This window comes from Homo sapiens, chromosome 7 (assembly GCF_000001405.40).
Source record: "Homo sapiens chromosome 7, GRCh38.p14 Primary Assembly".
Lineage (NCBI taxonomy): Eukaryota > Metazoa > Chordata > Mammalia > Primates > Hominidae > Homo > Homo sapiens.
The window spans coordinates 134,964,405-134,977,978 of record NC_000007.14 but is presented as its reverse complement, the minus strand read 5'-3'; the positions used below and the strand labels follow the sequence as shown (position 1 = coordinate 134,977,978).

Below are 13,574 nucleotides of genomic sequence, written 5' to 3'. Positions count from 1 at the left end.
GAGCTCTTATAAGGCAGGCCTGGTGGTGACAAAAATCTCTCAGCATTTGCTTGTCTGTAAAGGATTTTATTTCTCCTTCACTTATGAAGCTTAGTTTGGCTGGATATGAAATTCTGGGTTGAAAATTCTTTTTTTAGGAATGTTGAATATTGGCCCCCACTCTCTTCTGGTTTGTAGAGTTTCTGCTGAGAGATCCGCTGTTAGTCTGATGGGCTTCCCTTTGTGGGTAACCCGACCTTTCTCTCTGGCTGCCCTTAACATTTTTTCCCTCATTTCTATCTTGGTGAATCTGACAATTATGTGTCTTGGAGTTGCTCTTCTTGAGGAGTATCTTTGTGGCGTTCTCTGTATTTCCTGAATTTGAATATTGGCCTGCCTTGCTATGTTGGGGAAGTTCTCCTGGATAATATCCTGCAGAGTGTTTTCCAACTTGGTTCCTTTCTCCCGTCACTTTCAGGTACACCAATCAGATGTAGATTTGGTCTTTTCACATAGTCCCATATTTCTTGGAGGTTTTGTTTGTTTCTTTTTACTCCTTTTTCTCTAAACTTCTCTTCTCGCTTCATTTCATTCATTTGATCTTCACTCACTGATACCTTTTCTTCCACTTGATCGAATCGGCTACTGAAGCTTGTGCATGCGTCACGTAGTTCTCGTGCCATGGTTTTTGGCTTCATCAGGTCATTTAAGGTCTTCTCTATGCTGTTTATTGTAGTTAGCCATTTGTCTAATCTTTTTTCAAGGTTTTCAGCTTCTTTGCGATGGGTTTGAACATCCTCCTTTAGCTCAGAGAAGTTTGTTATTACCGATCTTCTCAAGACTACTTCTGTCAACTAGTCAAAGTCATTCTCCATCCAGCTTTGTTCTGCTGCTGGAGAGGAGCTGCATTCCTTTGGAGGAGAAGAGCCACTCTGATTTTTACAATTTTCAGCTTTTCTGCTCTGGTTTCTCCCCATCTTTGTGGTTTTATCTACCTTTGGTCTTTGATGATGGTGACCTACAGATGGGGCTTTGGTGTGGATGTCCTTTTTGTTGATGTTGACGCTATTAATTTCTGTTTGTTTTCCTTCTAACAGTCAGGACCTTCAGCTTCAGGTCTGTTGGAGTTTGCTGGAGGTCCACTCCAGACCCTGTTTGCCTGGGTATCAGCAGCAGAGGCTGCAGAATAGCAAATATTGCAGAACAGCAAATGTTGCTGCTTGATCCTTCCTCTGGAAGCTTTGTCTCAGAGGGGCACCCAACTGTATGAGGTGTCAGTCAGCCCCTACTGGGAAGTGTCTCCCAGTTAGGCTACTCGAGGGTCAGGGACCCACTTGAGGAGGCAGTCTGTCCGTTTTCAGATCTCAAACTCCTTGCTGGGAGAACCACTACTCTCTTCAAAGCTGTCAGACAGGGACGTTTAAATCTTCAGAAGTTTCTGCTGCCTTTTGTTCAGCTCTGCCCTGCCTGCAGAGGTGGAGTCTACAGAGCCAGGCAGGCCTCCTTGAGCTGCAGTGGGCTTCACCCAGTTCGAGCTTCCTGGCTGCTTTGTTTACCTACTCAAGCCTCAGCAATGGCGGATGCCCCTTCCCCAGCCTCGCTGCCATCTTGCAGTTCAAACTCGGACTGCTGTGCTAGCAGTGAGCAAGGCTTTGTGGGCGTGGGACCCTCCAAGCCAGGCATGGGATATAATCTCCTGGTGTGCTGTTTGCTAAGACCATTGGAAAAGTGCAGTATTAGGGTGGGAGTGTCCTGATTTTCCAGGTACCATCTGTCATGGCTTCCCTTGGCTAGGAAAGGGAATTCCCCGACCCTTGTGCTTCCTGGGTGAGACAATGCCCCGCCCTGCTTTGGCTCACACTCCATGGGCTGCACCCACTGTCCAACAGGTCCCAGTGAGATGAACCCGGTACCTCAGTTGGAAATGCAGAAATCACCCATTTTCTGCATCTCTCATGCCGGGAGCTATAGACTGGAGCTGTTCCTATTCGGCCATCCAAGAAGTTCATTTTAAACCTCAATTTTAAAGCCTATTTAAAGCCCTCCCCTCTTCACCCCCTGTAACTGAGGGTCCCAGGGATTTGGGGTTTTGGGGTGTACACTGTGAAAAAGTACCCACTGATAACTGTTGCACTTTGAGTTCTTGTTATTTCAGAAAAGTTCCGGGTGTTTCTGTAGTGTAGTCGTTATCACGTTCGCCTAACAGAAAAGTTCCAGGAGAAAGCCTAGCCCTGGCAAAACAAAAACAGGTTGGATACAGAGATACCTAAGTTGGAGATGACCTTTGGCAAACTCTCTTCATTACCATACTAAAAACTCTGCCCAGGGAGGAGCTCATTTGCTATTTTCTATACACACAGCATATGAAGAAGTGTGGTCAACAACTGTGCCTGTGCTGCCTTGACTCCATCTCTACATACAGTGACTCGGCTAACCAGCCTGTTAAAAGCCCCGTTTTCACCTTTGTTTGGGGAGATACTTTGGGGAACTATCCCCAGTGTCCTCCTTGCTTGTTGCAGGTAATCTCCTTGCTCAGTCCTCCTTGGCTGTGGTCATTGGACCATTGCCTCCCCAAGTAATAAAATCCCACTGTTCAATCCTCCTTGGTTGTGTTCACTGGACTATCACTCCCTGTATTAGTCTGTTCTCATGCTGCTGATAAAGACATACCTGAGACTGGGTAATTTATAAAGGAAAGAGGTTTAATTGACTCACAGTTCCACATGACTGGGGAGGCCTCACAGTCATGGCAGAAGACAAATGAGGAGCAAAGTCACATCTTACGTGGTGGCAGGGAAGAGAGCTTGTACAGGGGATCTCCTATTTATAAAACCATCAGATCTCACGAGACTTACTACCACAAGAACAGTATGGGGGAACTGCCCCCAAGATTCAATTATCTCCCCCTGGCCCCGCCTCTGACACATTGGAATTATTACAATTCAAGGTGAGATTTGGGTGGGGACACAGCCAAACCCTATCACCCCCCAAGTAATAAAATCCTCTTTTTCAGTCCTCCTTGGTTGTGTTCGTTGGACTGTCACCCACCAAACAATTGAACCTACCCCCTGTGTGGGTAACACCCCCAGAGCACCTGAGAGCTATCCATAGCTATGGTGGCTTGGAAGATGTTAAGGAGGTTGGTGTTTTGCTGTTTACATTCATCTCCTCTTCTTTCTAGGTTCTAGTTCCTTGCTGTGTTAGGCTGGGGATGACTGGGGAACAAAAGGGGTCTCCTTAACTGGGCCAAGTTATAGTCTACATGGTTGGTCTCAAGTGCTGTTCTTGCTCTGTCTGTGGACTTCAAGAAGAGAGTAGAGACACCCACCTGCCCCGTCAACAAGGGGCTCTCTTCAAGGCGCACTCCTAGGCAATAATCTCTTGTGACAGAGTTAAGCACATGGGCTCAGGAGCCAACTGCCTATGGTCAAATATTCTGCCAGTTAGCCATATGACTGTGGGCAAGTTTCTAAATTCTCTTTGATTCAATTTATTTACCTGTCAAGGGGGACAATACAGTAGTACCTGTCTTGTAGGGTTGTGAGGATTGGGTGAGTAACATGTAAGTTCTAAGCACTTACACGTTACATCAGGGAGCAGGTTGGAGCCATCATTCTCCTCAAGGCATGGGGAAGTCGTTTTTAAAATGTGGTCTGTGAGACCCTAGTTGAGAAACCCTCGTGAACTCGACAACTAATTTCCATAATTTGAAAAAAACTCAAAGCACCCATGTTACTAATGTTGGCAGGTGTGACGGTTAATACTGAACGTCAACTTGATTGGATTGAAGGATACAAACTATTGATCTTGGGTGTATCTGTGAGGGTGTTGCTAAAAGAGATTAGCATTTGAGTGATTAGTCTAGGAAAGGCTGACCCACCCTTAATCTGGGTGGGGTCAATCTAATCAGCAGCCAGCATGGGGAAATATAAGCAGGCAGAAAAATGTGAAAAGAGAGACTGGTCTAGCCTCCCAGCCTACATCTTTCTTCTGTGCTGGATGCTTCCTGCCCTCAAGCATCGGACTCCAAGTTCTTCAGTTTTGGAACTCAGACTGGCTCTCCTTGCTCCTCAGCCTGCAGATGGACTATTGTGGGACCTTGTGATCGTGTGAGTGAATACTTAATAAACTCCCCTTTATAGATTTTATATAAACTATTCCATTAGTCTGTTTCTCTAGATAACCCTGACTAATACAACAGGAACTAGACATATACAAGATAGCATTTTATTATTCTAATAAAAGCAGGTTAGAATGAAAGAGTGCTAGGTAAGGTTGAAAACTGGTTAAGAAACTAATCTTGTGTTCTGTAGGATTGCGGTATTTTTGCATAATTTTTAGTATATTCGATAAGAGAAGATTGAATTATGGTTCCTTATTCAGGTAGAAATGACCCATTGGGCCTTCTAAAATCTATTTTAATGAAATATTTTTTGGAAATCCTATTTCAAGATAGTAAAAGCCATCACCACTAAGAGCGTGTCATGGCAAAATATATTAAATCTGCATTAGAGGCCAGGCATGATGGCTTATGCCTGTAATCCCAACACTTTGGGAGGCCGAGGCAGGCAGATCACTTGAGGTCAGGAGTTCAAGACCAGCCTGGCCAACATGGTGAAACCCCATCTCTACTAAAAATACAAAATTTAGCTGGGTGTGGTGGCACGCACCTGTAGTCCAAGCTACTCGGGAGCCTGAGGCAGGAGACTCACTTGAACCTGGGAGGCAGAGGTTGCAGTGCAGGGAGCTGAGATGGCGCCACTGCACTCCAGCCTGGGCAACAGAGCAAGGCTCCATCTCAACAACAACAACAACCGGCATTAGAGTGACGTAAGGAGCCAGTGTTCTTTATGGAGCTGAGATGCAGGGCTGAGTTGATACACAAACTCTAAATTTAGTAATATAAAATGTCACAAAACTCACCTCTTATAACTCTAGAAACTTTACGGAAATTCACAGCAGCACATCTAGCAAAGTTTATAAACTGAGTTGCTCATGAAATCATCTTATTGCTTACGAAGCACGGGTATGTGTAGTGGTACTGGGTACACTTCTGGGTATACAAAAAACGTTAAGGCAAATATTTTTCTTCTTTGATTACCCCATGCTGATGTATTCTCTCTTCCCTCTAAATGTTGACAACTATATACTACATAATTCTTTGACAATTATGTGCTAGAGCCTTGTTGATACTTTATCTCTTAAATTCTTGAATTGTTACTCAGTATTTCGTAACTTTTCTCATCTTTACCATTGATCATTTATTTCTCTGCTAGAATACTAGAATTGTTCAACACAGTGGAGCTAGGTGGCAATCTGTGTGAAGACCAGATAACTTTAAATTCACCTTACTTTTAGGAGGCAGCTCTCTGAAGACCCAACCAAAGCTAGAAGTAGTTTACCTAGCCCTCATTCTTGGCAGTTAGCAGATTCTGACTTTTTTTCCTCTAGCCCAATTGTATTTGCAAAGGTCTAGCTCAGCCTCTCAGCTGCCACTTGTAGATCAGCATATGCTCTGAAGCAGAAGCAGTCCAACATGAACAAGAAAGAAAAAGTAATATAGTACAGGTGGCACATAGCTAGGATACTATTAAATACAAAAATATCAGTAATTACATTAAGTATGAAAGGACTAAATATTCCCATTGAAACTCAAAGGTCATCAGATTGGATTAAAACCCAAACCATGTGATTATGGTTAAAGACACATATATAAGACTAAAGGATATATAAAAGTTGAAATTTAAGGGATGGAAAAAATAATATGATGCAAGCCCTAGTCAAAAGGAAGCCACTGTGGTAATTTTAGGATAGAAAAAAATAACTTGAAGGCAAAAGTCTTTGCACAAATAGATGGTCACTTCAGAGTGATCTTTAGCTAAAGATCTAGAATCATGATGTCTTCCTAGTGAATTGAATATTTCACCTAAAAAATAACCTTAAAATATGGAAGGCAAAATTAACAGAATTACAAGGAGAAATAGACAAATCCATAATCATAGTGGGAGATTTTTCACTTTCCTTTCTCAGTAACAGATAAGGAAAAAGTCAGTAGGATATAGAATATTAGGACAACATGATTAATAGACTTGACACAAATAGACACTGTACTAAAATCAAAACCTTGTTAGTTATCTCCTAACACCAATGGAAGAACACAAATTTAGGACTGAGATCTTTTTTTCTTATCCATTCTTCCACTTGGAGCATACATGCAAGCAAAGGTAGGAAAAAACCTTTAATACAGACCTGTTTTGACATCACAGAAGACACTAGTATGTTTTCAAGCTCATATCCTGAATATACATATTGTAAAATTAATTTCCATTCACCCCTAATCTTATCAGTTTGGTGTTGGTATTACAAATTGTATTTCCATTGCTTAATTTTGCAAATTGATTTTGATAACTATATTATTGTCTATACTTATCACCCTTCTTGTTAGGACACAGAAATAAAAATACTAATTTTTTTATAGTAACTTAGTTCATTGTGTCAATTTTGTAGGCAGGGTTGAGGGAACTGTTCAGGAGCTTCGAACCCACAGTTTAAAACCTTTATGAGAACTTCAGATTTCAGACCAATTAGTGCTACATAAATATGCAAAATTACCATGAAAAAATAACTTTGGATTCACATGTAATCACCAGTGCCTTGTAAGTAGTAAGTATTCTACAAATGAATGGTATATATTAAATGGGTCTTTCTATATAAGAGACACTACCTTTGAGAAAACAGTACTGCCCATCTTAGGAGCCAGAGGGGCTGGTATGTGACAACACTGGCAATGAGAAGGAGGATGGAGGGACAATCGATAGTTACTTTTTTTTTGAGACAGGGTCTTGCTTTGTCACCTAGGCTGGAGTGCAGTGGTGCTATCAGGGCTCACTGTAGCCTCGACCTCCTGGGCTCAAGCGATCCTCCTGCCTCAGGCTCCCAAGTATCTGGGACTACAGGCATATGCCACCATGCCTGGCTTTTTAATTTTTTTTGTACAGAAAGGGGTCTTGCTATGTTGCCCAGGCTGGTCTTGAACTCCTGGGCTCAAGCAATCCTCCTGCTTCCCAAAGTGCTGGGATTAGAGGCGTGAGCCACTGTGCCTGGACGATAGTTTCTTTTAGGAAGGATTTGCAAAATCCCTCTTCAACCTTTTCCATACGTGTTAGGTCAGTTGTCAACATAAGACCAATTTTCTATATTTTATTAGGTAATTTAAAAATATGAAAATGCTTTTCTTCTTTAAAGAGTGAAACCAAGACTCAACCTGAAATACAGGTTTTACTGTGCCATAATCTTTATTATAATAGACATACCTCTCACTATCAATATTGTACATAAAAATAAGTGAGAAAAAGACATTTTGCAGGAAGGAATTCCATTTATTGTGGATGCATTTTCACAATATATGTTTATTGGAGCGATCCATTATCAGTGAAAAGTATCAAGTGTTTATAAAATTTTTAGGAATGGCAGATTCACAGAACATGCTAGTCAGCTTGCAGTTTTACCTCGTAAAGATAACAGAGAATTATAGTCAAACCAGTAAACAAGGAATTTACTTTTCAAAAGATTAAATCCAAACTGAACAAAATTCTACCCTAAAACTTACTCCATCCAAATATTGGAATAAAAGTCAGCAGTGATACATTCTCTTCTGAACTTTAGATTTTCTAGAAAAATATGTAATAGTGATCAGGAGGAGCTCTTGTTCAAAAGTACAACAAAGCAATGTTACCTTACCATAGGCCTTAATTCAAACTTTGATCCATTTCACTCCAATGACGGGAGTCAATGCTACCTGGGACACTTGTATTTGTAAATTCTGATTTAGCTTATTGTAGACTTGTGCCTACTTTGTCATGAGGGTTTGACTTCTGCATTCTTCATGGCTTTCCTTCCTTTGGCTTAGGTTTGCTAAAGCTAGAAGATTCAATTGCTCTTTACAGACTTATGAGGAAGATAGACTTTGTAACGCAGATGTCACTTCTCATGCCAGCCCTGCCCTGGTTAGCTCTTCTGGAGGAATACTGCAGATAAGAAAATAGTTATTTGGGAGGCTCCCTCAGTGTGGTAGGAATTGAGACTAACACAATTTTGGTTAAGTCCACTGAGGTATGAGTTTATAGAACTCCACTGTATGTATCCAGCTATACTAGAACATTTTGCCAAGACACTGGAGGACTCTTTCATTATCTACTGTGAAGAATAAAGACTTAGAGGCTATATAATAAGTTCTGGATTGTGTGTGTAAAAATCATGAGTTAAAAAAGACTTGGGGGAGAAAGTAAAACTAGTAGAAGTTACATATAATTTTGAAATTTCACCACATTGTCAACTTACTACAGGTATCAATGACAAATAAAAGTAGAAAAGTTTGAAGAAATGCTTCAGAGTATATAAAGATCAAAGTACTGTCATGACTCCTCAACACTGGATTTTGCTCACTTTACTTCTCTGCTTCTAGACATTTAGCCAAAGGTAGTCTTTGTTGAGACTCATACATGGAATTTCTGTCTGTACAATATTGGCACTAAATTTCTTGTCTTTCAATTTTAGAAAAGGAAGAGACCTTATGACCTATTGTGAACTTCATTGTTTCTAATAAGTAGGCTTTGAGCTTGGTCGAGATGATAGCATTAATAAAATTCACACTGGACTTCAAGAATGCATTTAATTATAAACTAAATACTATGTCTTTTAGAAAATTTCAACTCCTTCTAACAGTTCTAATCTCTCTTCTTTTCAATACTTTCTTCTTATAGGTCATCAGGCATTGAAAACATATTGATACCTATCTGCCATGTTTCTGTTGGCAAATATAAAATATTAATATAGTGTGATTTTTTAATTTTTCAAAAGCTGTGATATTGGCTAGTTACAATGACATACTACTAAATATAATAGTCTAGCACATAAAAAAGCATTCTACCATTAGTGTGTTTGTATATGTGTATGCACATACATACATAATTGAGTTATCTAAAATGTGGTTCAGGCTACTATCACTACTAAAGAAATCCACAAAACAACCAACCTAAAAAATCAGTACCACTGTCAGCTAACATAATAATGTAATTTAGATATGAATCATCAGCATGAAAAAAAGTAATACCTTAACAGTACATTTCTTTTTTTTTTTTAAAGACAACCATTATTGCAGTATTTCAAATCTGAAATGGGTTACTTTCAAAAAGTGTTACAATTGCCTACTAAGATAATTTCTTCCATGCTTTATTATAAAGTGCAGAAACAACATGACTTCTGTATTTAAAAAAACAAAAACTACGGTTCATTTTTCTAGATACTGCACACATTCCGCAGGCAATTTTAAACTTGGATCTTCTGTTGACTTCAGATGTGGTTGGTATCACTGCTCAGATACAGAGTTATGATGATCAGTAGAAAAGTCTCTATTTCACAGCATGGGTTTCTTTAGAAACAGGCTCCTGTGCAAAGGCAGTACTTTTACCATGAACATCTCTAGACTGTGATTATTAAATATAGTGATAATATACATGGGTTTACTGGGATATTGAAAAATAAAAGATAATGAACCCAATTTAGTAAATCAACATAAATACAAAACAGAGCGAATTAGCCCTCTACAACTGAGCTCGTCCTGCGTCTTGAGCTTGGGTTCTTTCTGGAACTGTCTCAAACCTGCCAAGAGAAGAGAACTTGAAATTGACAGCCTGTAGTGTGAAACTGACAGCCTGCAGTGTTTCAGGCAGATGGTTTTTATAGTCAGAAGAAAAATGAATAATAGTATGGCAGGAATAAATATTTATGAAAGGGAGGATTATTATCGGCATTCCATTCAAATATGATCTTTTATTTTACTTTTTATTTTTTTGAGATGGAATCTTGCTCTGTCACCCAGGCTGGAGTGCAGTGGTGTGATCTCAGCTCACTGCAACCTCTGCCTCCCAGATTCAAGTGATTCTCCCATCTCAGCCTCCTGAGTAGCTGGGGATTACGGGCATACACCACCACGCCCGGCTAATTTTTGTATTTTTGGTAGAGACGGGGTTTCCCTATATGTTGGCCAGGCTGATCTCAAACTCCTGACCTCCAGTGATCTGCCTGCCTCGGCCTCCCAAAGTGTTGGAATTACAGGTGTGAGCCACTGCGCCTGGCTGGATCTTATTTTATTTTAGCCTTCCTTCTGCTGATTTTTTTCACTTCCCTCTTCCTGTCTTTCTCCTTGATGTTCTCTTTTCCTGTCTTAACTTTTGGCCTTGCTTATAGCATTTAGAGTCAAGTAAGTTGCTTTGTTTTTTTCATTTTTAAGCCCCACTGTAAGAGCCAAAAATCTACAGTGTGTATTCCAGAACAGGCACATGCGACTGAATAGCTCAGTGAGGGCCACATCAATGTATGATGGTGAAGGAGGATGTTTATCTTTAGTTTTCTCCCATTTTTAATCTAGCAATCTCTATTTTCTCCCTCCTATTCTTACACCCCTACCCCACGAGACTTATCTGACCTATAGTCCTATTCTTACACCATTCTCTCCCCCTCAGCTAGTTGCTAAAAATTTTTGCCAAGCTATTAAGAAATCTTAAAGTGTTGTGAATTCCAATTTTCAAGGGTGTTCATTGTATTCATTTCTAAGGAATGACTGAGTAACAAGAAATGAGTTTGACAGTTTGGAGCAAAAGAGGTACCTAATCTGCTACCTCATAAACTCAGTTCTCGGTCTGGTGGTTATATTATTACTACTGTAGAAAGAAGTTAGTGGCACATGAAAACTCACACTGTCACCCTCCTACCTTGTACTGCCCTGGTGCTACATAACTCCAGGGAGTACCATTCATGTTTGTATGTGAGTGGTGTTCTCTGAGTCTGACCATTCCACATCATCTTTGTTCCACTTTCCAGAGCTCTGGCTAGGAGGAATGTTATCCAGAGAGACTCCGTTATACTGGTGATGATGGTCTATGGCCAGCTGACATCTGCTTTTCAGACAGGAACCTATATAAACACTGGGACTGCCATTCTGAGAAGTCAGATACCTCTCAGAGGTCTGAGAGGAGAGCCTTCTGCTGTCAATGTTCCTCCCACAGTGGTGTGTGGAGAATGTCTTCCTGGGAACCATTCCATGGGTTTGGGCTATTTACATTGCATGGCTGACAAACCTGCAATGCGCTAATAGCATAGGCTAGAGAGGTCATAAAAGCTTAGGTCAACAAGCTCATTCTTTGTTTAAAAAATAACAAAGAAAGTTCTTTTCTCCCCTGCCACCGAGAGAAAATTATACAAGGAATTGAATAACTATACATTTTCTCCTGAATATGCATCCTAAAAGAAAGTACCATGTATAATGGTTAAAAATGCAGGCTCGGATCAGGTGCTGGAGTATCAATGCAGGCTATGCTACTTATTCACTGTGTGACTTTGGGAAAGTTACTTCATCTCTCAATGCCTCATTTTTCTCAGCTGCAAAATGAGAATGATAAACTACTTACCTCACATGGTGACTGGAGGATCAAATGAAATAATGGAGGGTAAGAAGGTAGAATAGTGTCTGGCATATAGTGGGGTGCTCACTTGTAGCGCTAGTAGTTAGCAATGTGATAATTACCAGCAGGTACTTTTCATATGTTTAGCAATGACTTAGAAAGGCTAGTGGATTTTAATGGAATAAAAGCGCAATACGTAGCTAATAGTGAAGGTGGGGTAATATGTTTAGGTAGCTGCACCAGAACTAAGAGCATGAGAAAGTGGGAAAGGGAAGGTAATTCTCTCACTGCAGTGAATTGTAGTGATTCTCTAGTTGCCGTTGATGTGCTCTTTAGTCCTGAGTTTGCTTACGAAGTGCTTCTGTTTAAATCAACCCATAAGCAGCCTGTTCTAACCTTGCTTATTGTTGGTCTCCAGTTTCTCCCTTTTTAATTTTCTTTTTATTGAAGGAGAACACGAGGTCTATTACTTGAAATGGGGAAAGGCTACAGTTGGGAGTTGAATGAGCTCATTGTACCACAAAGGGTCCCATTTGCAGTGTAAGCATCATTTAGATGTTCTTCAGAGCCTCCTTTCTGAAGAATGACCATATCCTTTGACCAGAAGACTAAAAGTAAGAGGAACCCAATCATTCTTAATCATTCATTTTCACAGGGTGGTAAATGGTTGCCTTACTTTTGAATATTTTTTTTTTTTTTTTTGGCCATAGCAACCCTGAGTCTTAGGCTGCTGGCAGTGGCAATGTAATCTAAAATGGTTCCAGAAAGCAGTTTTGGAAACACTCAGGGAGACAGATGTTTTCCCCAAGTGATTTTTAAATGACTGTGGCACTAAGCTGGGACCTTGTAAGGAAACGTAGACCATGGTATCCCATACGGCCTTCTGCTGCCAATGTTCCTACCACTGTGGTGTATTGAGAATGTCCTACTGAGAACCATTCCATGGATTTGGGCCGTTTATGTTGTATGACTGACAAACTTGCAATGCGCTTTTCATTTCACTGTGTTATGTACTGGTCTTTTAGACACTGATGGGTGTGCAGGCAAAGATCTGTAGGTCAGTGATATTTCTCATCTGACTCCAGGACATTATACTACACCATACATCAGGAAAACAAACCTCTGAAATACTAGTCTTCCCAATAGATTACCTTAGTGGGGGAAGTGACCTTATCCACAGATTGCTTTTCCCAGAGGTTCCGCTTGCTGGATACGTCTCCTGGTCTCAAGTCCTGATAAAAAGGAAGCAGAAAAACATCGATAGGTGGCCATTTATATTTTCTAGCCAGCTCTAAATAAATGGCCACATCTATTGTTTATTTGAATCAGTTTGTTGTTTAATACACTTTACCCCAGTGATCTGAAATGGAATTGAAAGGACCATCAGCTGTTGTTTGATTTTTTTATTTTTTTATTTTTTTTGAGACAGAGTCTCACTCTGTAGCCCAAGCTGGAGTGTAGTGGCGTGATCTTGGCTCACTGCGACCTCCATCTACTGATTTCAAGTGATTCTCCTGTCTCAGCCTCTCGAGTAGCTGGGATTACAGGCGTGTGCCACCATGCCTGGCTAATTTTTTTGTATGTGTAGTAGAGATGGGGTTAGCTGTTGTTTGATTTTATATAGACCGTGACATGTCTTATGATATGAGAATGGGCTGGAACTATAGCCTCGGGGTCCTTGCCCTTTCCTAAGGACTTACTGTTTATTGATCAGTAAAAGTGAAACAGGAGCATGTTTAAAATAATGTAGCCTCATTTTAAATTTCTGCACTCTTACAAGTCAATAGATCATGGGTTATTTAAAAATGATTAATTTGGGGTTTGATAAGCATTTCCTGCCTCACAGATGAACTCAATTTGTACTCACCTCTTTCCCCCCAGCCCTTACTACTTTAGTGCACACCAGCCTGACTGCCAACTGCCCACACAGCGCTTCTCTGCCTAGGGACTTTCTCTGGGTACAGATGCCTGATTTGCCTGCCCAGGGGCAGGCTGGAAAGTTGAGAGAGTTATTATAACATCCCCAGGAGCAGTCCTCAATGGCTGACTGGTGAATGTTGGTGCAATATTATTTTCAGGCTCACTCTCGCCTCAGCTTGGGTAACTCTGAAGTATGTGTTCTTTGGTGGCTTC

General features: G+C 40.6%; 1 protein-coding gene across 39 annotated transcripts in view; it reads right to left on the bottom strand.

Moving 5' to 3' along the window:
* CALD1 (caldesmon 1) overlaps positions 7,250-13,574 on the bottom strand; it is a 259,231-nt gene continuing 252,906 nt past the window's right edge. For 33 of the 39 annotated variants that reach the window (NR_199386.1, NR_199389.1, NR_199387.1 and 30 more), the window contains 2 exons: positions 12,593-12,673; positions 7,250-9,639 (listed from right to left, as the gene is read on the bottom strand). Coding sequence is in view for 35 of the 39 variants with exons in the window: in NM_001438770.1 (NP_001425699.1) it covers positions 9,634-9,639; positions 12,593-12,673 (87 nt within the window). In the remaining 4 variants the exon portion in view is untranslated. The remainder of the gene's footprint in view (positions 9,640-12,592; positions 12,674-13,574) is intronic. The other 6 variants (NM_001438767.1, NM_001438773.1, NM_001438774.1 and 3 more) reach the window with 1 other exon arrangement.